The 27652-nt window shown below is 40.4% G+C and overlaps 1 long non-coding RNA gene across 2 annotated transcripts in view, besides 1 other annotated feature; it reads right to left on the reverse strand.

The window, feature by feature from the left end:
• The window catches only part of LOC105377114 (uncharacterized), a 144240-nt gene that overhangs the window by 33480 nt on the left and 83108 nt on the right, over positions 1-27652 (reverse strand). For both annotated transcript variants that reach the window (XR_001740725.2, XR_940892.3), the window contains one exon: positions 1990-2129. This is a non-coding gene — a long non-coding RNA (uncharacterized LOC105377114). The remainder of the gene's footprint in view (positions 1-1989; positions 2130-27652) is intronic.
• Positions 14082-14696: an enhancer, noted in NCBI's record as "OCT4-NANOG-H3K27ac hESC enhancer chr3:61317711-61318325 (GRCh37/hg19 assembly coordinates)". NCBI's record gives its function as "activates a minimal SCP1, AML or CMV promoter by ChIP-STARR-seq in naive and primed H9 embryonic stem cells {active_cell/tissue: H9 hESC(naive and primed)}" and the evidence as "EXISTENCE:reporter gene assay evidence [ECO:0000049][PMID:30033119]".

Genomic DNA, 27652 nt, shown 5'->3' on the forward strand with positions numbered 1-27652 from the left:
ACAAAGAGAAGCAAAAGTCATCATAACAGCAAAATATTTACCAATGAACTTACCACTTACAATATTACCCCTGACTTTAAAATTCCTTGCCAATTACAAATTATAATTACAAATTACCTATATTACACTACAAATCTAAAGCAAATCAACTGCTAAGACAAGTGCAAATCTTTTAAAGGATACAGAGTTTCATAAAGCCAATCGAAGTGATCTGGGAGAAATGCTCTAAATACAAGCAAAGCTTTTGACAAATGACAGTACTGCCTAGTTAAACTAGTTAACAGCTGAAAAAGAAAAAAAAAAACTCATAAAGGGGATGACATAATAGCGCTTAGCAAGAAAATGATGTGTATACTGAAGGAAGAAACACGGGAAAATTGACCAATACTGATTTTTTTCTCAAAATGACCTTTATTATGAACTTGCTGCTAAACTTAAACATTAAGTGAAAGATGCCATTATCATACTACCATAAAATTTGTGTTGAAAGATTATACCTCCCAAACTCCTATTCATTCTTCATCTTCAACATTAGTTAATAATTGTAATTATAACCTATATAATTATTGATAATATTAAAATAGGGGTTAAAAACTAATTTAGTTTAATTTTTTAAGCTGAGTTCTAATCAAGTCTTTTGTCCCACTATTTACTTGAACAAGTGGCCCCTGTATTAAATGGCTTCACTCTCAGTGACCTTTGCATAAAGAAGACTTCTACTCCTGAATCCATCTATTTCTCCCACCAGCTCTGTCACTGCCGTAATTCAGACCACCATCCTTACTCACTTAGATTACTACTACAAGGGCTCCTATTGCCCCTGTCTCCTCATTTACCTTCTCCAATTCTTCCTCCCCACTATAGCCAGATGGGATCTTCTCAAATGCCAAAATAGCAATGTCACTCTCCTACTTGCAATCCTTTCATGAGGTCCATCTTCCTTCATTGTGTGTACTTCTTAGCACACCTTACAAAGTCCTTCATGACTGAACCCCTTTCTATGTTCAACTTGTTCTCTCTCCAACATCCTCAGGCCCAGCTCCTATACAGCTGTCCTCTTCATTCCAGTTTCTCATCATTCCCCAGTGCACTATTGTCTCACAGCTCTGGCTGTTGCACCAGCCTAATGCCTGCTCAGCTTTCAGTTCTCAACTTAGGAAACTTCATCCAGGAAGCTTTCCCAGATTCCCTAAGTTAGGTGTCCCTCCTTAACTGTCCCATAGCATCCTGTACAACTGACTATACTGAAAGCACTTAATATTATATTTATGGTTAGGGGTGAAGGCAAGGACCAAGTCTGACATGTCAAGAGTCTCCAGCACCTTGCTTAGCCCCTGGCCCAGAGCAGATGATCTAGTAAGTGCCTAATCAAGAAATAAGTGGATGGATGGATGCAACACCAAGCAAACCAAAGCAAAATAAATATTATATCACAAAAGGAATGAAACCAAGCAATTAAGCTGAGGCATCTTGAAGTCTTGTGGGTAAGAAATAAGAAAGACATCAATCAAAACTGTTCACAGCGATAATTTCTGGGGAGTAAAATTGAGGGAGTGAAAGAAAGGAATTTCATTTTTTTACTTTATACACCTAACAAGTGTTAGACATTTCCATAAGTATGAATTACCATTATAATAATTTTTTTTTTGAGACGGAGTTTCACTCTTGTTGCCCAGGCTGGAGGGCAATGGCGCGATCTCGGCTCACCACAACCTCCGCCTCCTGGGTTCAAGCAATTCTTCTGCCTCAGCCTCCCGAGTAGCTGGGATTACAGGCATGCGCCACCATGCCCGGCTAATTTTGTATTTTTAGTAGAGACAGGGTTTCTCCATGTTGGTCAGGCTGGTCTCAAACTCGTGACCTCAGGTGATCCACCCACCTCAGCCTCCCAAAGTGTTGGGTTTACAGGCATGAGCCACCGCACCCGGCCAAGATTTTTCTGGAAGTATTACTTTCAATAGCAAAAACAGCAATTACTTTTGCACCAACCTCATGTCATGGCTTTGAGTGCAGGGTTTCGGGTGCATGCCTTTCAACCAATACTCAGTCAAGGAGCAGAGAAACGTTCTAAATGCTTGTCCTGCCATGGCCCCCGCCATCGTGGCTCCTGCTCTGCTCTCCCACTGCCGCTGCAAGGAGATATGAACTGTGATTTTAAATTAGAGGCGATTCCTGACACCTTCTCCCATGTCTTAATTTGTAAGTTTCTATTTTCAATTTTTTTTTCCTAAAATGCCTGCAAATAGAGAAACTTAAAAATAAAAGCCATCAAAGAAATAAAATGTTCTGGCATTTTAGCTTACTTGTTAGGTTATGTTTATATCTCAAGGAGTTTTGCCTGTCATAGAATTTTAGAATGTCCTTAGTAATAACATATCCTGAGAATTTGATGTATTTTCTTCAGGAGAGTGAGACTGATTTCGGGGGAAGGATGGGGTACATGTGGAGGGAAGGGAATTTTCACTTTTTACTGTGTACCCTTCTGTACTGATCCAAAAAGTTTACAAGAAAAGCTCATATTACTTTTACAATAAAACAAAAGCTAATTAAAAATGCAAAAGCAAATATTGGCAAGCATTTCATGAGGCTTTTAAAAAATACATTAACACTCCTGGCAACTCCGCAAGGTAGATATTCTCTTCATTTTTAAAGATGAAGAAACTGAGACTCCGAGAAGTTCTAGGACTTGTCCAAGGTCATAAAGTTAATAAGCAGCCAACTGAGGACCGAAACACAAATCTTATTTGAAGGCTAAGGTATAGCTCCTTTAAAATGTAATACACAGTGTTTTGTTTTATTAAACAAGCTGATAGCGGTTTGCTTGGAAGATAAGTGTGTTACTTTAGGAATACAGAGATATTTATTTTCTTAGTTTAGGTCAGTAATAAAGCTTAGGGATACAAAATAAATGCCTTTCTGGAATAAGGTATCCAAATAGGAATTATATTAGCTGCCAAATTGAAAACAAATTTCCTTCTATTATTAGTATCTTAAGCATGATCATATTTCCTAAATATTATCTCTCATCTTTGGCAACAATAAAGCCTTAGACATACAGCCTTGCATAGAGAAAACAATCAATACTTATTTTAAATTTGTTAAAGCATGAATATGTCTATACTTAAATGCATGTGTGTGTGTGTGTGTGTGTGTGTGTGTGTGTGTGTGTGTTTTCATGTGACTATGTATTTGTACATTCTAGAAAAATATACATCCAAATTTTAACTGTTGTTGTACTCAAATGATGAGATTAGAAGAAATTTTATTGCTGTGGAATTTTGTAGACTTTTTCAATTCTCTTTCTTATTTTATTTTATTTTTTTTTCTGAGACGGAGTATCGCTCTGTCACCCAGGCTGGAGTACAGTGGCACGATCTCAGCTCACTGCAACCTCCACCTCTCAGGTTCAAGTGATTGTCCTGCTTCAGCCTCCCAAGTAGCTGGGACTACAGGTGCATGCCACCACACCCGGCTAATTTTTGTATTTTTAGTAGAGATGGGGTTTTGCCATGTTGGCCAGGCTGGTGTCGAACTCCTGACCTCAGGTGATCCACCTGCCTCAGCCTCCCAAAGTGCTGGGATTACAGGCGTGAGCCACCACGCCTGGCCGACTTTTTCAATTCTCTAAAATGGATATTTGTTACTTTTATAAGCAGAAGGAAAAGAGTGGGAATTGTGCTACAAGATAAGGAAACATTATAAAACCATAGTAGTCGTGTGTATTGGTTTAAGGACAGACAAACTGACCAATGGAACAGAAGGGAGAACCCAGAAATACATATGAATATTTGATACATGACAGGTAATAGCAGCAGTGTGTGCTGGGGCAGGGTTAGGTGGAGGACAGGGAGAGGAAATTCAATAGATGATCTGGCAAAAACAGCCTTCCATCATAGAAAAATATTACACAGAAAAATATTATATTGGACCCCTACCTCAAATCATATTCAAAAGTCAATTATAGATATATAAAGGACTTAAGTGTCACAAACAAAACTTTAAATTTAAACTTTCAAAAGAAATTAAAGGAGATTGAGAGAAATTTGTTAAACAAGATACAAAGAGTGCTAATTGTTAAAGAGGAGATTGATAAGTCAACGCAATTAAAACCAAGAACTTATGCTAAGAATACTTTAAAGAAAGTAAAAAAAAACCAAGTCACATGCAGGAAGAAGATATTTGCAATTATATAACAACCTACAGATTAGTATACAAAATATGAGGACTCCTACAAACCGACAAGATAAAGTAAACAATTCGATAGGAAATTGGGTAAAAGACATGAACAGACATCTCACAGAAAAAGAGACACATGTGGCCAATTAATATAAAAAGAGATTATTCACCTTGTTAGTAATCAGAGAAATACACATCAAGCCAAAATGCTATTTTGTATCCATGAGCTTAGTAAAAATAAGAACCAAATGTAGGATAGGATGTGGCTCAATGAGTAGGCTTATATGTTCTGGCGGGAGGATAAATTATTACAGTCACTTTGGAAAATAATTTTGCATTGCTGGTAAAGTTGAACATTCACATACCTTCTACTCAGCAGTTTTACTCCTGAGCATATTCCCAAGAGAAAATCTTGTTCACGTGCCCATGAAGACAATGTTCAAGAAGGTCTATGGAGTACTCCCCATAATAGCAAAAAACTGGAAACAACTGAAATGCTGACTGACAAGAAAATAAATCATATTGCCTAAGATAGTGCCTGGTACACAATAAACACTCAGCAAATGGTAGCTGCTATGGTTTGAATATTCGTTCCCTCCAAAACTCATGTTGAAATTTAACCCCCAGTGTGGCAGTATTGAGAGATTAATGGATTAATGGGTTATCATGGGAGTGGGACTGGTGCTTTGCAAGAAGAGGAAGAGAGACCTGAGCAAGCACACTCAGCCCCTCACCATGTAATGCCTTGAGCTACCTTTGGACTTTTCATAGAGTCCCTACTAGATGGGGCCCCTTGATCTTGGACTTTGCAGCCTCCATAACTGTAAAACATAAATGTCTTCTTCATAAATTACCTAGTTTCTGATATTCTGTTATAAGAAACAGAAAATGAACTAAGAGAGTAGACATTATCGTTAGTCCTGAGCATCAATTTCTTCATGTATAATACAGAAACAACATATTTTACAGAAATGTGTAAAGAATTAAGTGAGAAATATATGCAAGCCCTTGGCACATAAGAGATGTTTGATAAGTGTTACTGGTTCCTTACAAACCTGAGTGAGGGCTGGGAGTGAGCCACTGGGCTGGCTCACTGGAGCCACACACACAATGGAAAAGTGTATATAATGCAATGTTGCCGGTCAAGGCCCACCCTTGGCAGGTTTCCAAGGCTACTTGTTTTGTTTTGAGTTAACATTTTAATGCTCACTCTACGCCAGGAAAGCACCTTCTGAAGTGGTGATACTATTATTTCCATTTTATGCATATGGAAACTGAGCCCTTGAGATTTGAGATGACCGCAGGTCACCTACCTCCTAAGGAGTAGGTCTGGGTTTGAGCTCAAGTTGTCTGTTCCAGGGCCCCCTCTCAAAACCACCACCCTCTTCTAAGCAAAGTAACTCAGGAATGGAAATCCAAATATTGGATGTTCTCACTTATAAGTGGGAGTTAACCTGTGAGGAGGCAAAAGCATAAGAATGATATGATGGACTTTGGGGACTTGGTTGGGGGGAAGATTGGGAGGGGGTGAGGAATAAAATACTACATATTGGATACAGTGTACACTGCTTGGGTGACAGGTACACTAAAACCTCAGAAATCATCACTAAAGAACTTATCCATGTAACCAAAAACCACCTGTACCCTAAAAACTATTGAAATTAAAATAATAATAATAAAACAACTGCCCTTTGCTGCTTTCCTAATGCCACCAGAGCCTACTGCCATCAGGGCTAAACATCAACTGTAACAGAAAGTTCGACAAAATCTCAACTGGCGGAAATTCCAGGATCCTCCTTATGTTCCCTAACCCCAACCAAGGGGTGTGTGTGTGTGTGTGTGTGTGTGTGTGTGTGTGTGCGCGCGTTGGGGAGGGGGACCCAGTCTTGATGGCCAATGGCAGACCTTGGAGCAAATGTCAGCTCTGAGGAGCAGAAGCTGCAAATGGTTAACAGCATTATTCCCCGAAGGGCACCAAAAAGTCAAGTAAGCAATTCTTGACCTTTCAGAAGCGATTATCAGCAAAACATAAACAATTCTGCGGGCTTAATGAAGGAATGCTGTGAAAAGTGTAATGGGCTATTTGTGCACATCTCAAAAGCATCATATAATTTGGCACAATTGGCAGTCTATTCTCCAGCATGGCCAAGCAGGGTGTTGCTATTTAGGCCCAAAGGGCTTTGGCAAAGCCAGGTCCCCACCTCTATCCCTTCTCTAAAACCCAGGGTGTCTATGATTTAATTTCCAAGGCTTTAACATTACTTGCTGAAACGAGATGTGGCACAGGCTTACCCATTTTCCCCAAATGCAAAAATATGTTTTTGCTTCAAAATATGAGCCCTATTTTCATTCAGTTTGGGTTTTTTTTTTCCCGCTACAATTACAGAGGTTTTTTTTTTTTTTTTTTTTTCAATTACATTTTCAGGCAAATTGTTCATTAGGTTGACTCAGCTCTTCACAATTTTGGCGGACGCTGGTGGAAGAGTGAGGTGGTAGGGTACTTCATTATTTTTAAAAATGATGATTGGCCATATTCAGCTCCCATATTTCATTCCCAACTACATAAGGGCATTTAGTATGCAGACTCTGTGCATAAGCTCATCAGCTGCTACATTACCACAATGGCTCTTCTGAGCCATAATAGTCTACTATGGAAATGATCCGTGGATTATTTAAGTTTATAAGGTCTAATACACTTATAAACAAAGAGGGTTTTTTTCAGCATTTTTCCATTATTTATTCCTCATTAGTCTCCCCACCATCACCACCACCACTTTTTTTCTGCTTTTTAATACACATGCGAAAATAACCCAGAAAGAAACAGTCCCAAGTATGTTTAACTAAAGCTAAGAGAAAGCTGAGAAAATGATTCCACCAAAGCAATGATTTCCAGTTAATCCTGGGCTTCAGTCTATGTTTTTCTCCTGCAGATTTTCTGTTCACAGTCCATACTGGCTTCCAAATAAATAAATACATGTATGGCTTTGGGGACCACGGTTTTCTAGCTTTTTGTGGTATTCCCACAATTTCCAGGACAGTTGTATGACTTCTCTATAGTGTTGCTGTGTTTGCCATAAATTATTTGAGTCTATCTCAGGTTCTTGACCATTCTAAAATGGAGTGATAAAAATAGAAAGCAAAACTGGTGATCACGTATTTGGAAAATACAAGCATTTTTAATTAACTTACTTAAAAGATAGAAAACTTTGTCTCAGGCTGACAGAGATCACTAGGCAGAGAGCAAACTGAAATATCTCCAGTGGGCCAAGCAATGCTGGGATTACAGCCCACGTTTGCTAGAGCCATAAACAAAAGCAGCAGCGAGGTGAATTTAATGATAACAAAAACATGCCCTGGACAACCGTCACTGCTCATATTTGATTTAGATAATTCTTTGCTAGCAGTACAGCTTTGCCCTTCACTTCTGACATCAGAGAATAGATAGTTTTCTTAGAAATGGAATATTCAAGTGAAAGGTATTTTTAGACATCTGTAGAAAAGCATCCACTAGGAAAAGAGGACTGACACAAGCATTTATCATCTCTCCCTGTCAAGACCCAATAAATGGTAGTAAGAGAACAAACCCATAACAAAGACAAGCACAGATAGAGGACCGTCAATGAATACCATCACCCAATTTCTAATAAATGCGTAGAGAGTGGAAGCCAGTTGGTGGATGAAAGAGAGGGAGTAAGGAAGTGGGTGGTGATTACAAAGACAGAAGGAGACAATTGCTAGGAAAGCCCTAGAGAAGCTATAGAGTCAGGATGGGCACAGTCAGTAAAGGGTAGCAATAAAAAAGAGGCTAATTGAATTTACCTTTAGAAGGTCTTTTTCCACTAGCTCCCTTCCTCTCTTGACTCCCCCATTCTCTGTTTCAAGCAGTGCAGCACTTGGTTGATGGGGCTGCTGTGGCTCCCACACTCCCCTTGCAGCTCCCCAACCCCAAGTAAGCAAAGCTACATCTCACCCTACTGCCACCACCTTCCCTCCCCAGCATTTTACCTCCAGGCTGAAAACCCAGATAAATCTTGTCTTAAAAAGCTGAAGCAACTTCCTGGAGAGGAGGAAAGGCTAGGGAGGAGGTAGGCTCTGCCACAGTACAGGCGCCAACTTTCTGGCATTTGAGAGGCTCCAGTCTAGAAAGTGGCTCCCTGACTGCTCACCCTGCAGTGAAACCAGCTGAGCAGTCAGAGCTTGAATCCTCAGAGCCCCCAGACAGCCTTCCCATTCACAGGCTGATGGTACAGAGGCCTACGTGGACTGGTGTTGTCATCCCTGTTGTTGCCATTGTCATGATCATCATCAAACACTCATTGAGCACTATCTGACATCACTTCTTGAATCTCTTAAAGGCATTGCAAACTTTTGCCCCACACTGGGCTCATCACATTCTCTCACAACTTCCTCCCTAAACTGCTCCTTTTCCAATATCATACCAACCATCATAATTAAAATTTATAGAGCACTTACTCTATGCCAGGCATTGATCTAAGCACATTACACATAATAACTCATTTAAACTTAACAACAGCCCTTGGTGAGGGGAGGGGCTAGGCTGAAATCAACAAGGACACTCTCATTAGCATGTGAGGTCAACCAGTTAAAGAGGTCTCTGAAAAAAGAGACTTGAATCTCTAAGACGCCAATTATTTGTTGTGATTTTTCTCTCTGACTCTAAATAAATTTCATATCAAATTTTTGATGAGTTTGTGTGTGTCTGTGAGTGTGTGTGTGTGTGTGTGTCTAGTTTTGTGATCTTTTCTATAAAAGTTTTAGGCCTCCAAATCTTGGATTCAGTCCTGGGCTACCTACATAGAACAAAAATCGGACCTATATGAGAATTCTCATTAGCAACACTGATATTTGGCAAGCATATAATAGAACCAAGTATATAGACAGTACTCAGAATCCGCAGACACTGCTTACAGTGCTTCATGTATATTAGCTCACTGTATCAGTCAGCATTCTCCAGAGAAACAGAACCATTTATTATGGAATCTGGCTCATACAATTTTGGAGGCTGTGAAGCTCCATGATCTGCTGTCTGCAAGGTGGAGAAGCAGAAAGCTGGTGGTGTAATTCAGTCAAGGACCAAAAGCCTCAGAACCTGATGGAGGGTGGGAAGCACACTCAGACCCCAAAGGCCTGAGACCCAGGAAAGCTGATGTCCAAGAACAGGAGATGGGTGGTGCAGCTTAAGAAGGAGAGAATTTGCCTGTCCTTCATCTTTTTGTCCTATTCTGGCCCTCAACAACTTAGATAATGCCCACCAACATTGGTGAGGGTAGGTCTTCTCACTCAATCCACTGATTCACGAAAAATATGAATCTCTTCCGGAAAAACACCCAGAAACACACACCCTTATAGACACACCCAGAAATAAGGTTTTCCAGCTACATAGTCATTTCTCAGTCTAGTCATGTTGACACATAAAATTAACCATCACACTCAATCCATTTCCCTGTTTTATAGATGAGGATACTGAGACACGGGATATTTCAGTGATCTGCCCAGATAAGCAGGTGCAATGGTTCAGCTGTTAACCACTACAGTACTATCTCTTGGGTAATTGTAAACACTACAGGGATAAAAAAAATTACTATTAAAGTTTCATATGTACAACAAAACTGGTTATTTTTAAAAATATGTGCTCTCCTCCAAAAATTAAACATAGAATTACCATATGATCCACTTCTGGGTATATACCCCTAATAATTAAAAGCAGGAACTCAAGCAGATACTTGTACACCTATGTTCATAGCAGTGAAACGGGAGAGTTCCCTGGTCTCCCTCACCTGTTCAGTGGCCACTGCTGCTCAAACTCCTGAGGCGAGTGGGGGCACACAGACAGACAGGTGCAGGAGCCCAAGTGGGCATGAGTTGCAGTATCCCCTTTTAGCCCTGCTGTCCACAGACAGCTTGAGTGTTAACCAGCACAATGGACCCTCTGCCTTTCTACAAGGGCAGAGGGCCAGTGTGACAGCTTTCTGTTTCCTAAGCTCTTGCCCAGCATCTTGAAAGAATTAGGTCACTCAAGGATGGATGTGGAGTTTTATTGAGTGGTGGAGATGGCTCTCAGTGGAATGGATAGGAAGTCAGAAGTGGGGGATGGAGTGGGAAAATGATCCCATCTTCCCCTGGAGTTTGGCCTTCCAGCAGCTGAATTCTTCTTCAACCACCTCCAGCTGGACTCCTGTCAGTGTTCAGACGTTCCTCCACTTCTCTCTTTCTCTGCCACATTGTTCCATTGTCCATCTGCTTGTCTCCTTGTTTCCTTGCCTACTCTTCTGCTTCTGGAGCCTGGGATTCAGGGTTTACATGAGTTCAGGATGGGGGCCCTTTGCCGGGGAACCGTCCTCTTCTACCCAGTGTTTCCCTGTCTCCTGTCCATATCAGCAGTATACTTCACAATCACCAAAACATGAAAGAAACCCAAGTGTCCATTGATGGATGAATGGATAAACAAAATGTGGTATACGTATATAGTGAAATATTATTCAGCCTTAAAAAGAAAGGATATTTGGACACATGCTACAACATGGATTAACCATGAACACATTATGCTGAGTTAAATAAGCCAGTCACAAAAGGACAAATCTTGTGTGATTCCACTTATATGAGGTACCTAGAGTACTGAAATTCATAGAGACCGAAGGTAGGGTGGCTGGCGGATGGAGGGAATTGAAGTTATTGTTTAATGGGTACAGAATTTCAGTTTTGGAAGACAGAAAAGTTCTGGAGATAGAAGGGGAGCAATGGTTGTACAACAATGTGAATGTTTCTAATGCCACTGGATTGTGCACTTAAAAATGGTTAAAATAGCAAACTTTGTTATGTATATTTTGCCACAATAAATAAATAAACAGCAAACCAACCCACCAAAAATAAATAAGTAAATGTAATAATTTGTAAATGTGTGTTCATCTGTTATAAATAAGATCTGAAATATTCATCAATGACAGAATATGCAATCTGAGATTTGCTTTAAAATAATCTGGTGAAAACAATTGCTATTTGTAGATTAAAAATAAAATTTTTAAAAATAAAAATAACTTAAAAAGTTTTTAAAATAATAATCTAGTGGGGGGAGGGGTTGGGGAGTGTAAGGATAATTGTGGAGCAGGGTTGGAGATGAAACAAGATGGTTCAAATGCAGATAATTGTTGAAGCTGGGTGATGGTACACTGGAGGGCATGACACGATTCTCCCTCCTTTGTGTATGCTTGAAGGTTCTCATTAAAGAAAAAGAGTTTTAAAATATCTCATCCCAGTAGACAATAAGACAGCAGTTGCCCTCATATTTATTAACCCTTCAGATAGACACAGGGCCATGGAAAGAAGCTGCCCGCTCTGCCCATTCCGTGAAGTTCCTGAACACACCCCTCCTTCCTGCATCCCACCGCCCACTGTAGCATTCTGAGCACACACCAGGTCCTTACTACTAGCAGCTGCCCATCTGTGGTGATCTCAAGGGCTGGGAGAAATGAAAAGTAGCTCTTTCTGGACTACTACGCACAGAAAACTGGGCTTTTTCCTGTAAGACAGAAAGAAAAATGCCAGAGAAGGCCCACATATTCAAGCATCTTACCGCTGAACTACATTTGCATCAAGTCATGGGACTTACCAACTCTCCAACAAAAGAAACATGTATTTTAAATTATAAAGTTAAGGTATCCTTTTTCTCCAGAGCATTGTGAATACTTTTGTCGGGGTTTTGACATAGACGACAATAACCTCCCCTTCATGTCAACCGCTACACATGCACACTCTTCTACCTGGGACAAGCAACCACAGTGGATTATTGGTTACCTAAGTAATCTCTCTATTGTTTCATTAATTCATATTCCAATGAATACTTGTTGAGTACTTACTATGCATCAGGCATAGTACTTGGTGCTGTGATATGAAGATGTACTCAAACCCCCAGAGTTGATATGAAGATTATTTTTAACTAAAGACATTTGAGATTTGACAGATGTAGAAAGAAGACTTTTTGGAGCTTCTCTTATCTGACTAAAGGCAGAAACATCTGGAAATTAGGCTACTGTAGATCTCCTCTTTTGGGGCAGCTTCACTTCATAAAGGAGACTGTGAAACCACCATCAACAACAGAATGTCTCACACCAGTCAGATGGCTATTACTAAAACGTCAAAAAATAACACATGCTGGCAAGGTTGTCAAGAAAAAGGGATGCTTATATACTGTTGGTGGAGTGAAAATTAGTTCAACTATTGTGGAAGACAGTGTGGCAATTTCTCAAAGACTTAAAAACAGAAATACCATTGGACACAGCAATCTCACTACTGGGTATATACTCAAAGGAATATAAATCATTCTATCATAAAGACATATGCATGTGTATGTTCATTGCAGCATTATTCACAATAGGAAAGACATGGAATCTATCTAAATGCCCATCAGTAACAGACTGGATAAAGAAAATGTGGTACATGGAATACTATGCAGCCATAAAAAAGAATGAGATCATGTCCTTTGCAGGGACATGGATGGAGCTGGAGGCCATCATACTTAGCAAACTACCACAGAAACAGAAAACCAAGTACTGCATGTTCTCACTTATAAGTAGGAGCTAAATGATAAGAACACATGGACACAAAAAGGGGAACAACAGACACTGGGGTCTATTTGAGGGAAGAAGGTGGGAGGAGAAAGAGGAACAGGAGAAATAACTAACGGGTACTAGGCTCAATACCTGGGTGACAAAAGAATCCATGCAACAAAGCCCCATGACACAAGTTTACCTATATAGCAAACCAGCACATGTACCCCTGAACTGAAAAGTTAAAAAAGAAGAAACTACTGTAAGTCCTCTCTCCAGAGGAGTTTATACCGACCAGAAAGAAGAAGGAGAAGACCACTTGCACCTGCATAAACAGACATTGTCACAAACTTTCCTATCTCCCATTTTGTTCTCCTAAAAGCCCATTAACCTTTCCTAACGAAATGTCTTCCCATAGAAGTCTTTCCTCCCCTCATGCCTTTCACCTTATTAAGTGGTTATAAACCCCATATCTTTGGCTGCTTGGAGAGTCATCTTTTTCTATGAACTCCAGTGCACATCCATGAATAAAAATCTGTTTTTCCTCTTGCTATTCTGTCTTTTGTCAGTTTAATTCACAGACTCCCGAACACTAAACATAAGAGGACAGAGGAAATGTTTGTCTTCCTCAACAGTGACCAAGACACAAAAGTCTTACTCTCATGGAAACTACTGGGGAAAATATTCAGAAAGAGTGAATAAACAAATAAATAAATATTTACAGATTGTTATTATTGCCATAAATCAAAGAACCAGATGGATCAGCAGGAGCTGGTATTCACCCATTTAGCCCCAGTTCAAGGATGCTGTTTGTTAATATTTGAGTCTGTCCTTATTGCATGGTGCCTATGTCTGAGGACAGTTAAATATGTACAGCATCACTTCTGGTGGTCTAGGAAGGCCTCTTCAAAGAGGTAACACTTAAGGCTGAGTCCAAAAGGATAAGAAACAACCAGCACTGGGACAAGTAGGAAAGAACATTCCAGGCAGAAAGAGGAGCACATACAAATTGCTCCTGCACATCTGAGCTTAAAATGCTCAAGTGTGCGTACAGCAGAGGCAGGCAATGTGGCAGGATTGGTAAGATCTTGTCACACAGGACACAGCAACACCTCTGTTCAGGATTTCAGAACTTGCAAGGGTTCCACTGGAAGCATTGTCTTCCACAATGGACATGGGAAAGAAACTAGTGCTTCCAGACAAGCAAAAGGAGATTTCGAGTGTCCACTGAAGAATCACAGGGTTCATTAATTCGGAGAAGTGAGCTCTATTTCTTATAAAGGGTTGTAGCCTGCAGGCTGGCCATCGTGAAGGCTGGGAATCATAGCCTCGAGCAGAGACCAGAAGTAGGCACTTCGAAGAGGGAAGGATGAGACAGCAACTTATGCAGAATCCATTGGCTAAGTATACATATTCAACAGGTTATAGGAGAAGCTATGAATATTCATGAATGAGGGTGTGCACATGATATGCATAGTAAGCTAACATTTGTGTTACATATGTCCCATGGTCACTTTGGGGTGGAGACTTAACATTTAGATGTATTACAATTAGGCCCTGTACATCAAAAGGTGAAGCAGAGGACACAAAGCTGCTCCATGCACAGCCTCCATAAACTAACCAGAACCATCCCATGGTGGGTGGTCTCTCATCAGGAAGGAATGCTGGTCCATTGTTATGTTTAAACCACAAAAGAGAGGGGAGTCTGATGAAATCAGTGGTGGAGACTTTCAAAAGGGCTGGTTTCTGTTTAATCCCTAGGAAAGAAAACCTAATCATGGTCAGCAAGGGATGGGGTACAATGAGGCATGTCCAAGCTCCCATCCGTCATGGTTGGGAACTTGGTTTCTCTGGGGTCAGGTAGGAAACTTAGGGTTTTATTTTTATATCCTACAAGTTACAAGAGACATGGGACATCTCAGGTCAGGAGATCCAGTAAGTATTAGACAAGCCTTTGAAGAGCAAGAACCTCGTGGTTACGGACATCACTTAGAAAATACGAAGCTATGTAACCCTTCAGAGACTTGGTGGAGGGGTAATCCTGATCATTGTTTTGGCCACTTCATCCCAGAGTCTTACCATTTTGTCACACATTAGATTTGAATACTGGGGAGGGTGTGGATGAAGCTGAATTGAGAAGCAAAAAGAGAAAAATCAAGTGTATTTATCAACTCATGTAATATGCTCCCCAAACAGATCCAATCCTCCTGTGTGTTTCAGCTTTCTTTTATAGAAAGAGTATACAAAGACAGAGTCACACATTAACTTCTGGACCCAAGAGAAGTAATATTAGAAAGGTGTTGTTAGCCCCCACCAAGCAAAGGATGTCCTGATATATGCTCTGAAGATAGACCCCAGCAGCTACCAGTTCCTAAAAGGTAGGGGAGGCTGCTTTAAAGCAATATTTGACCAGGCATAGTGGCTCATGCCTGTAATCCCAGCACTTTGAGAGGTCGAAGCGGGTGGATCACTTGAGGTCAGGAGTTTGAGACCACCCTGGCCAACGTGCCAAAACCCCATTTCTGCTAAAAATACAAAAATTAGTCGGGTATGGTGGTGCATGTCTGTAATCCCAGCTACTGGGGAGGCTAAGGCAGGAGAATCGCTTGCACCAGGGAGGCAAAGGTTGCAGTGAACTGAGATCACGCCACTGCATTCTAGCCTGGGTGACAGAGCGAGACTGTTGAGAAAAAAAAAAAAAAAGCAATATTTATATGCAGCAATGAAGGGAGGAGCATTCAAAATTGCCTGACTACAATATTCCTAGAATTCTGTCTGGCATCATTTATTGAGAACTTGGATTTATTTTCTCTAAAGCAGAGTGAATTTTATGTCATCCTCGAGGAAATGCAGTACTTAAAGTTAACCTTATTATAGGAGGAACTCCTGGAAAGATATAATAGAATCCAACAGTTGGTAGATTCAAACTGGAGGTCACTCTAATTAAGGAAGTGAAAAGTAAATGGAAAGCAAACAATCCTATTTCACACTAAACAATTCTACGTAAGGGAATCATTTTTACATAATGACTCAGGAGCAGATTACATTCTCAGATGCAGAGGCAGAGCCCCCATTGACTTCTACCACAGACACTGATGCATATCTAGAAACAGTTTGGGGCCTAGAGGCTGGTGAAATAAATTGTGTGAATCAATTTAAAATGCAGCCAGATGTTTTTGACTCTGAAAATAAAAAGACACAGGATGAGAGGGGAAAAAAATCCACAGATAGCCCACAAAGCAGACTGGCAGAAGTTTTAGAAAGTCAGCTGTAGTTAGTTAACTCTACTTCTTTTCATATCTTACCATCTTTTTATTCCATTTAAGGAAGACTGCATAACAATAAAACTCTTTCATTAAACAAACATATTGGAAGGTTCCCTAATTTTAAAGTATTCTGAGAGAAACAAAGGTGAATCAACCTGAATTTGAGCCTCAAGAAGCTCAAAGTTTGGTTAATAAAAGAAACGATCTGTGGACCTACAAGATTAAACAAGAAAGACATCAGAAGATAATCACAGAGGTGTGAAAAAAGTTGCATGTGGAGATTTTATGAAAGTAGTATTGTAGCAAAAAAAAAGTCCTAAATAGGGAATAGTTATGAATGATAATTTTTAAGCATTAATGATGGAATCATTTGCAACCATTAAAAAGGATTTGGAGAAAATATTTAAGAACTTGGAAAACTATTGATGAAATATTATTAAGTAAAAAAGCAGTTAACTAAATATTATCTACAGTGTGTTCCATTTTTGAAAGAAAAAATGTTTCTACATTGGTTTGCTTGTATAAACGAGAGAAGAAAAATATGTAACAAAATAGTAACAATGCTTATCTTCTGGTGATATAATTATAAATGTTTGTTTTATTTACTATTTTTATATATTTTTGCAAGTCTATATTTCCTCCAATAAACATGCATTATTGTTTATAACCAAAAAAAAATTAAAATGAGGTTTTAAAAGAGGATAGAAATATAACACAAAGAAATTTAGAAGAGAAAAAGAATGTCAGTTAAAATGGATATGGAAATCAAGGAGTGAAATTGCAAGCAGATAGGGAGGGTCTCCAGGGACTATAGAAATTTAATCAATTTGAGCAATTAGCCTATTTTACAGCCTTCTGCCTTGCAGCCTATTTTTTCCCAAACCGTATGTGGAATGTGGTCACCTAGTGGGTTGGAATGAGTTCTTGACAGACCTTGGCAACTTATCTATGAACCCAAGTGGGCTTTCCTCATTACCATGCTAAACTCCCCACCCCAGGAGGAGCTATAGCCTCATTATCATAACATGTGACTTCTGTGCTGACATAATGATTCACTGTATGCATGGGACCCCTCCTCTCCATGCAATGACACATCCTCTTCCCTTTCTATTGCCCCATAAAAGCTTTCTATCACGCTTCCTTGGGGAGACACTGCTTTGGAGAATCCTCCCAGTGCTCTCCTTACTTGTGACAAGTAAATTCCTATTGATCAAAACCTACTTTCTAGTTGAGCATTGTTCGTTACTTGCCAGGTGATAGAGCTCCAGTTTTTTTGGGTAACAGAATTGGAGGCAGTGGCAATAAAGGAGGAAGGAAACAGAAGCTAAAGAATCTAACATTGATTTCTGTCACCAAATTTTTGACCATTCATCTGTGTGGCCTTAGTATAGAAGTAAACACCTGGGGCCACCATGCTGCACCACATTTAGGAGGCATCATCCTTGTAAATGGTGCCCCCGGGAGTTGTATAACCTGTAGCTTGTAGGCAACGTTCTTTTCCTTATGGAACTTATGGTTCTTGCAAGAAAGGAAGAAGGACAAGGAGAAGGATTATTTTGGATTTTACCAGCATGCCCTAGGGACATCTAATAGAGGCAGGCATAAGACATGGGATTCTGGACTTTTTTAGTCTTTCCCATCCAATTTCCATGGCCAGCTACATGATTTGCAGGGTCCAGCACAAAATAAAATGTGGGGTCCCTTGTCATAAAAGCAAGGAAAATATGCAAGATATTTGAAGGGCTCCAGATTACACTACTGTGGCATAAAAATTATTTTGAGCTGAAGACATTTCAAAATCAGCAGACACAAGAAGAATCATTGTTTAAACTTACCTTTTCTGCCTAAAAACCGAGCCTCCCAAAAGCTGCCATAAATCCCACCCTTTAGGAGAGGCTTCCTGTACCAGAGGAAAAGGGTGACTCCTCTCATCAGAGATGAGAAGTGTATGTAGGGATGGAAAACTGCATAAACAGACTTTACTAAAACAAAACTCACTTTCCATTAATTTCCCTCATATATGTCTCAGTCATTTCCCACCATTGATTGTCACTTGAAATTCTACCCCGTTCCCTTGTAAGATGGTATTGAGGCCCCAGATTAAGCCACTTAAGTCATACTTTATCTACTTAGGTAAATACAAATCTCTTTTTTCTTGCTTATGAATCTTTTGCCATTTTAATTTGCAGGATCCCAAACAATGAACATAAGAGGGTAGAGGAAAAGGTTTTCCTTACTGATAGTATTAAAACAAAAAACTCTTTCCTTTGTTCTGTGGTTCCTCTCTCAACTTGTCATGATGTTTTTTATTTGGTTTTTTAATGTTATTCTAGGTAAAGAAAAATTAACAATTTAAATTAATAGTATGAATTGTACCATTTATCTTTATACCATGCAATGAATGCAGGTTTAAATGCAAATATAAAAGCACTTCACTCCTTGACAAAATCACTGAAATTGGGCAATTTATATTTTGTAGCTCGTACATGCATATGTATTTTGTTTTTACAAGAACAATGTGAATGCTACACAAAACTAATACAACTGTTTTTTTTTAATTTTTACTTTTTGATATGCACATATTCTACCAATACTTTCCACCACTGGCTAACAGATGAGTAAGGAAGGACTGCAAGGAAAAGGAGCTCCAGGTTGATGTATTCTTTCTCTTTCCTTTTTTCCATCATTTTCAGCATAAACAGTTGGCTGATACAGACAAGTAACAAGAGTAAGGAAGAATATGATAGGACTCCTCGGCTATTTGTGTTTTTTTAGCATTCTATTGCCTTCTTTGTGGGTTAGAAGCCAGTTCTGGTTTGAATGAAAAGTGTGGCTTCTCAGCCCCTGCTTACTCAGTTGTAGAGGTAAGATATCTTGTAATGGCTTTGAGTCTCTCTGGGCTCCCACACAAGGTGGGACAACTAGAATGCCATGCTTATGGGGCATCATCTCATCCTATATGCAAATAAGACAGCAGGGAACAGACAACTCAGATACTGTGCCTAGTTTCTCTGCTCATGTGCATGCTCCATTGTCCCCCTCAGACCTCATTTATAAAACATAAGTTCAAAAACAAAATTATTAAGAAGTTTAGGATGGTGACAGCAGACCTTAAACCCAGCATGGGGCCCTTCTGAACGTGGGAGTCTGTGCCAAACTGTGTAGTTCCCGTACCCATGAAGACCGTCCCGCTCACTCTCACCAGAAGAGTTCCACATGGGGTTCCAGTTAAAATTTCATTTGAAAAAGAATTTTATGTAATATTTAAAATAATAAATTTCCCAGGTATGGGGTGTTACACACCTGTAGTCCTAGCTACTTGGGAGGATGAGGTGAGAGGACCGCTTAGCCCAGGAGCTCGAGGTTAGAGTGAGCTATGATCACACCACTGCACTCCAGCCTGAGTGAGCCCCTGTTTCTAAATTTTTTTTTAATTAGTCTAGATTAAGAGACAAAGTCAAATACCAAAGGAGTTAGGAAGACAATGGAAAGGAGAAAAACAGACTTTCTCAGTCTCTCTTTTCTCCACTATTGAGAATGTGGGGGTGTTAGTGGGGACAGGTCATTATTTCCTCTTAACTCTGCCATAAGAAAAACAACAATGCTCATGCCATGATAAATAGCAACTGACCCTCAGCTTCAGTGTCAGGAGACACTGACGACTGTTGGGGACTGCAGGACAATAATGGGCTCCTGGCCCTCTGAAAGAACAGCCATAGCTCAGCCAGCTGTTGAAGCAATTCTCCTGTCTCAGCCTCCTGAGTAGCTGGGATTACAGGTGCACGCCACCACACCCAGCAATCTTTTGTATTTTTAGTACAGACAGGGTTTCCCCAAGTTGGTCAGGCTGGTCTCGAACTCCTGACCTCAGGTGATCCACCCACCTTGGCCTCCCAAAGTGCTGAGATTACAGGCGTGAGCCACCGAGCCTGGCTAAGGTTCGTTTTTCAAGAGATACTCAAAATCTGAAGTCTTACATAAAATCTCCCAACTTTTTAATGTTGTTATAGAACCAAACTGGGGACTGCTCACCCAGCACAGTAAAACAAGGTACCTACACCAGGATTTTGCAGTGGTAGAAAGGAGGTACTTATTTGCACCAAGTAAGGAGGACCAGGTAGCTAACATGTAAATCTTCAGCTCCCTGATGACTTGCAGGTAAGAGTTTTTAAAAGCAGGGGTAAATTTCAGGAAAGTGAAAGTTAACAGGTAAACTCGTAAATCAGTACATGGATGTTAGACATTGGTTTTGGCTCAAAAGGGCAGGATCTCTTGAAGTGGGGGCATATAGGTCATAGGTATAATAGATTCAAAGATTTTCTGATTTGCAATTGGTTAAGCAAGAGAAGCTTTGTTTAAAATTTGGGGTCAGCAGAAAAGAATGTCAGCTCAGACTCCCTTCAGGCCCCTCAGGAAGAAATTCAGAGCAAAGTATGGTGACCAGAGTTCAGTCCTCAGTTCCCCCTTATCTGAGATCTACATGCCAGCAAATCCATTTGGTGGGAGGTTGGGTTTCTGAAAAACAACTCAGGGACATATGTTAAAATACTGTATTTAGTCTCTGATACGGTTTGGATATTCGTCCCCTCCAAATCTTATGTTGAAATGTGATCCCCAATGTTGGAGGTAGGGCCTAGTAGGAGGTGTTTGGGTCATGGGGTCAGATCCCTCTTGAATGGCTTGGTGTCCTCCCAATGTTAATGAGTGTGTTCTTCCTCTGTTAGTTCACATGAGAGCTGGTTGTTTAAACGAACCTGGCATATCCTCCTCTCTCTCTTGCTCCCTGTCTCTCCATGTGACACATCTGCTCCTCCTTCTCCTTCACCTTCCACCATGAGTAAAAGCTTCCCACGGCTTCACAAGAAGCTGAGCAGATGCTGGTGCCATGATTGTAAAGCCTGCAGAACCGTGAGCCCAATAAACCTCTTTTCTTTATAAATTACCCATCCTCAGGTATTCCTTTATAGCAATGCAAAATGGACCAACATAGTTTCTAAAGGGAAACTTTATTTACATCAATTTTCTCAACTTGCAATTCTTGTAGAAACTATTTGTGAGATATTGTACATTTTTAAAATAATAAATCTCCATGTGTATTTTACACTTCCAATATGTCTTAATTTATATTTCAAATATAAAACTCTGACGGGTGCAGTGGCTCATGCCTGTAATCCCAACACTTTGGGAGGCCGAGGCAAGTGGATCACAAGATCAGGAGTTTGAGACCAGCCTGACCAACATGGTGAAACCCCATCTCTACTAAAAATACAAAAATTAGCCTAGTGTGATGGCGTGCGTCTATAATCCCAGTTACTCAGGAGGCTGAGGCAGGAGAACTGCTTGAACCCGGGAGGTGGAGATTGCAGTGAGCCGTGATTGCGCCACTGCACTCCAGCCTGGGCGACAGAGCAAGACTCCATCTCAAAAAAATAAATAAATAAATAAATAAATAAATAAATAAAACTCCATGTGTATTTTACACTTCCAGCATGTCTTAATTCAGACTAGCCATATCTGAAGTGTTGGAAAGCCACATGTGGCTAGCAGTTACCATGTTGGACAGGACAAGTCTATAATACACAAGAAATTTATTCAGATTAATAATAATAAACTTCGAATGTCAATTCCCATAAGTAAATGGGCAAAGGATATGAACAGGCAATTTACAATAGCAGAAATACTACTAAGATATGAAGAAGTGCTCAAAACCATTACTAATGAGGAAAACCTCAAATTAAATGCATTTATGCCTGGAAAAAAAATCACAAAGTTGGATAATGATAAGAGTTGGTGAGGATGTGAGTATAAAGAAGCCTCATTTGCCAGTGGGAGGACAGACAGGTGCAGACATTATAAAGAGTGCTTTCATCATGTTAAATGAATGACAGCAATTAATTCTGCTCCTAGGTATTTATCCTAAAGAAATTCTTTTATTTTTTATTTTTTTGAGACAGAGTCTCACTTTGTTGCCCGGGCTGGAGTGTAGTGGCACAACCTGTGCTCACTGAAATCTCTGCCTCCCAGGGTCAAGTGATTCTCCTGCCTCAGCCTCCCAAGTAGCTGGGATTACAGGTGCATGCCACCAAACCAGGCTAATTTTTGTATTTTTAGTAGAGACACGGTTTCATCATGTTGGCCAGGCTACTCTCGAACTCCTGACCTCAAGTGATCTGCCTGTCTTGGCCTCCCAAAGTGCTGGGATTATAGTAGTGAGCCACTGTGCCCAGCCTATCCTAAAGAAATTCTTACACAGCTTAGACATTTACTTTTCTGTTGATTGTCCTACCCCGGACTACAAACTCTATGAAAGCAGGGATTTTGTCTTGGCCTTCTCTGTATCTCCAATGTTGGGATCAGGGCTGGCACATAGTAATTGCTCAATAAATATTTATAGACTGAATGGAGTATGCCATCGTCATCATAGAAACCCAGTGAGGCAAGCATTTTCTAGATGAGGAAAATGGACCTTAGAACAGCCATACCTCCAGCATCACATGTCCAGTTGCCAGCAGAGATGGAGTTAGCACAAAGGCCAACAGCCCAGACTGACTCCCAGCCATCACCTGTTCATTATTTTAACATTACTTATTGAGCATCTCATAAAGAAAGACAGCCTATAAGTAACTGGAAAGAGCAACTACATCACCACATTTTCAGGGTTTAAATTAGAGCATATCTAAACACAGAAAAGCTTTGCTTGATAAGGCTTCCCTCTAAATTCCTACATATTCCTACATATGTTCTCGGGTCATGCTTTTCCTGAGAGATATTCTTTTTTTTTTTTTATTAAAAAAAAAAAAAAAGAAAGAAAGGAATGGAAAGCAAGAAGACTATTTAATAGATTGAAAGCTTTTGTTCTCCTACACACATTAAGCCGTTCGGTAACAAAACAGGCAGTCTCAGAAAAATAAATCACAGCTTTATTTTACAGCTTTAATCTTAAAAGGGTTAACATCTCCCCACCAGCTTGCAGGCTTTTTTGGTTTTTGCCTTTCCTTTTCTCTCCATAGCTTTGATGAGTTATCTTCAGAAGATCATGTGAGTACTTGCTTCATTTTCTCAGTTCTTTTTGGCCATCCATTCCTTGGCAGGTTTCACCCTATTTGGGTATAAGCACCCACTCTACATCTCCTCTCCACCCGCTATTTCGTGCATCAAGTGTTAACGAACTTTGTAGCAAAACAAATCCATCTGGAAATTGGCATTTCAACGATGTGTTTTTAAAACTGCTGTTCATCATTCCTAGCGTGTGTGCGCATGTGTGAAAAATTCAGAATACATTTAAGCAGGAAGCACTGGAAAGGCTGGGTGCACATTTTGAAGCCAGAATGCATTTCACAAGGTGGGAGGCACACATAGACTTGAGAGTGCTGAGGGTTGACTATCGCTTGTATCAGGCATGCTAAATATTTGACCATTTTGAATGAACTTTATTAGTCTGAACATGTTCCACATTCTCTATTTACTGAAAGATTATTTCCCAATTGCAAAAAGGATTACAGTTATACAAAGTCAAAAATACATATCCTTTTTTCTTCGTTAGTTAATTTATTTATACCCAGCCCTGCCTGTTGCAAAAAGGATTTGAGGTAGCTCATACACGATTTGATGGACTAGATTATTTGAGGGAGAACTCCTTTCCTATGCTGATTTTTACTTCCAAATAGAGAATGCCAGTAAAATTAATAAGTAATGAATCAGAATCACTGAAGTTCTTGAAGTGTCTTCATGTGCCAGACTGTGTGCCAAGTATTTCACATTTAACCCTCACAACCACCCTTTGAGTAAACACTATTTTTGTCCCCATTTCACAGATAAGGAAAATTAAGTTTAGAGAAGTAGAGTGCAAAACAGTATATAACTAGTAAGGGATGAAGCTGGGATTGGAATCCAAACCTGTTTCAGAGACTCCCCTCCCTATCAACCCTTATCATCTACTTTTCTGATGGGAGGTGTCCTGGCTGAAGAAAAAGTTCCTAGAGTCACCTGAATCCAGGGAAGCCTTTAGTGATGAGTTGGAGCAGATGGATAACCAAGACTGGAAATGCAGAGATAAAATGTGTGATTGTCTCGAATTGCTCCTATCCAGTGGGAGGAACAAAACATAATCAATTCCCACATACTGCTGTGCCCCAGGCAGTGACCACGCCCATTTTTCTTAGCGGTCTATCCACTATCCATTGCACATGGTTGGCACCCAGTAGGTGCTCATTGCATATCTGTTAATTGAATGACTATATTATTGGGTCCACCAACTCAGAAAAGAAACCTTCCATGGAAGCGAGAATGTCTGAAGAGATAATTATCCTCAGAAATTAGAGCATGGAGCAGGAAATTAAGCAAAGTTACCTGTGGGAGACAACCTCTAAGATGCCCCCAACGATCCTCCCTCCTGATGATCATGCCCTATATAATGCCTTCTCCTTCACTGTAAGCCAGGTTTATTGATTTGCTTCTAACAACCAGAATATGAAGCTGGGATGCGGTGACTCACACATGGAATCAGCACTTTGGGAAGCCAAGGCTGGAGGATCACTTGAGCCCAGGAGTTTGAGGCTGCAGTGAGCCATGATGGCATCACTGCACTCCACCTGGATGACAGAGTGAGACCCTGTCTCAACAAAACAAAACAAAACCAAAAACAACAACAACAAAAAAACAAATAGAATATGATAGAAGTAATAGGATGTCACTTTTAAGACTATATAATAAAAAAACTGTAGCTTCTGAATTAGTGTCTTTCTGGTGTCTCTCTCTTTCTCTTTCTCTCTCTCTCTCTCTGTCTTTCATAACACCACTGTTATATCACATGAACACACAGGCGGCCTATGGAGAAGTCTACATGGTGAAAAAAACTAAGGCCTGCCAGCAACCATGCAAGGACGCTTAGAAGTGGAACTTCAGAGGCCTGTCAACAGCCACATAAATGGGCTTGGAAATGGATTCTCCAGACCTCCAAAGGAGCCTTAAAATGACTACAGCCCCAAGTGTAGACAGGCTGACTGCAACTGCATGAGAGGCCTAAGCCAGATGCATCCAGCCAATCTGTGCCCATATTACTGACCCACAGAAACTGAAACCACGAATAATAAATGTTTGTTGTTTTAAGCTGCTAGGTTTGGGGTGTAAACATAATAAATACCTAATTTGTTATGCACCAATAAACAACTAATACATTCCCCCATAACTTCCAAGAAAATGAACCAAGGCATATCCATGAGGACTTGTAGCTATGAAAATGGTATAAGAACACTTAATAAAGTGTCCCGTGTGTTATTTCTGACTGATTCTCCATGGTGATTAGCTATTAACATCCTTACAACAGACAGGAACCATGTGCAGGGACAGCAGAGGAGTGGGGAGGGCTGGGCCACTTGGTCTCATTCCACAGTCAGTTCTAGGAAGACAGGACCCTCAAGAAGTTGAACATGTCCTGAATTAACAGTTAGCCCTATGGAAAATTCATTTTTGGCTCCCCAACATCCATAACACTGAAGTTGGGTGATGTATCAATTAGGATTAGATTCTGCTACATGAAACAGGAAACCCCCACGTAACAATGACTTGAGGGAAAAAGAACATATTTCCCTCTCATGTAGGAGGAAGTTATTTGAGTGCTGGTCTGACCTCTCTATTATGTCATCTGGAACCAGATATTTTGCATCCATCCTAGAGGACATGCCTAGAGAGCACCCCCTACCTCCCAGTCCACCATGACCTCTGCACTTGTATCTTCATTCCAGCAGCAGTTGGAAGAAAAGGCAAAAAAAACAGCACACTCAGCCTTTTAAATAGACTTCCTGGAGTCCCATGCAACCCTTTTGCTTACACCTCACTGACCAGAACTTACTCACATAGGCATACCCAACTGCAAAGGAGGCTGTGAAATGTGCCCAGATAAAAATCAAGGTTCTATATTGAAAGGAAGGGGAGAACTGATACCAGAGAGACAACTGGTAACCTCTGCTCCAGGTAACAAGACTGGTGGAGCACCAGAGGGTTTGTCATTCAAATATCTCCATGATCTGACCCACCTCACACTGTCAGAATTATTTCCATCAAAGAGTACTAGACACTATACTTTTTTTTGGAGACAGGGTCTCATTCTGTCGTCCAGGCTGAAGTGCAGTGGCACTATCGCAGCTCACTGCAACCTCCGCCTCCCGGGTTCAAGGGATTCTCCTGCCTCAGTCTCCCATAGACATCTTCCTTTATGCCTTCCCATTCTCAAACTTTGGCCAATGCTGGTGCTACCACTGAAGTCCCAGCCCCTGCCGTCCTCACCTAGCTCCTATGCCACTTCCTCTGGGATTATTTTTTCAATCCTCTCCTTCCTCTGAAAACCCAAAGTACTGATTTGCACTTTTGTCTAATGGAAAAAAAAATTATGCACTTCCAACTGCCAGACACTGCACTAGGAATGAAAATATAAGTAAGGTAAGGACCCGGTCCTCAAAAAATGTATAATGGTCCATTGATAAATCATTGTTGAATAATGATGGCTCATCTGCTTTGCAGTATCACCTCAAGCTTTTAGTATACACGGTTTTTATAATCACATGCATAACAAAAGATGGAATGTGGCCCACATACACCTAAGTCAATAGGATTTCCTCAATAAGTCTCATTGCGTGGCATTATGGTCTACACATGATCCTTCTGTCCTTCATTCGCACATTTATTTAATATCTACTATGTGCCTGACATTGCACATAGCACAAAAGAAAGGCCCGATCCTTTCCTCAGGGACTTGGGAGAGAGACAGACAAGTAAATCGGGTATTGCAATGCAGAACAATAAAGCACTAGGTTGGAGATGTATATAGAGTGATAAAAATACTAAACCTAGACTGGAAGTGTTAGGAAAGCTTCCATGAGAAGCTGGCACTTAATAGTATTCCAGGACAGAGAGAGCATCATCTATAAAAGCCAATAGGTGAAAAAGAGAACATTGTGCTTTCACTGCACAGGAAGTATTAATAAATCAGTATGGCCAGAATTGAGTACATGAAGTTGGGAAGGGAGAGGATGAGGTTGGAGGTAGACAGGGTATCAAATCAGGAAGGAACAGCATTATTAAATGAGAGTAAAAGATATCCCTAAAGAGTGCCTTACAAAATGAAAGTTTCTTTTTTTCTAATAAAACAGTAACTCCTAGGGTAGGCAGTTAAGACTGGAACAAAGGCATCATGGGGCCATGACACAGTTGGGGTCTGCTATTGATCTGCTAGGCCACCTTTAGTATGTACTTAACCCTTGTGGCCATGAGACAGCTACTACACCTTCAGCATCTCATCTGCATACCAGGTGGGAAGTAAAGGAAGGCAAAGGACAAAAGTTATGTACCGTCAAATCCGCCTAGCTTTTCTAGAAGTCCCATCTTACTACTGATTTTTATTTATTTACTTATTTATTATTAATATTATTTTTAGTCTTGCTCTGCCACCCATGCTGGAGTGTAGTGGTGCAATCTTGGCTCACTGCAACTTCTGCCTCCCGGCTTCAAGCAATTCTTCTCCCTCAGCCTTCCAAGTAGCTAGGATTACAGGCATGCACCACCACACCCAGTTAATTTTGTATTTTCAGTAGAGATGGGGTTTCACCATGTTGACTGGTCTGGTCTCAAACCACTGGGCTCAAGAGATTT

This window comes from Homo sapiens, chromosome 3, assembly GCF_000001405.40.
Source record: "Homo sapiens chromosome 3, GRCh38.p14 Primary Assembly".
NCBI lineage: Eukaryota > Metazoa > Chordata > Mammalia > Primates > Hominidae > Homo > Homo sapiens.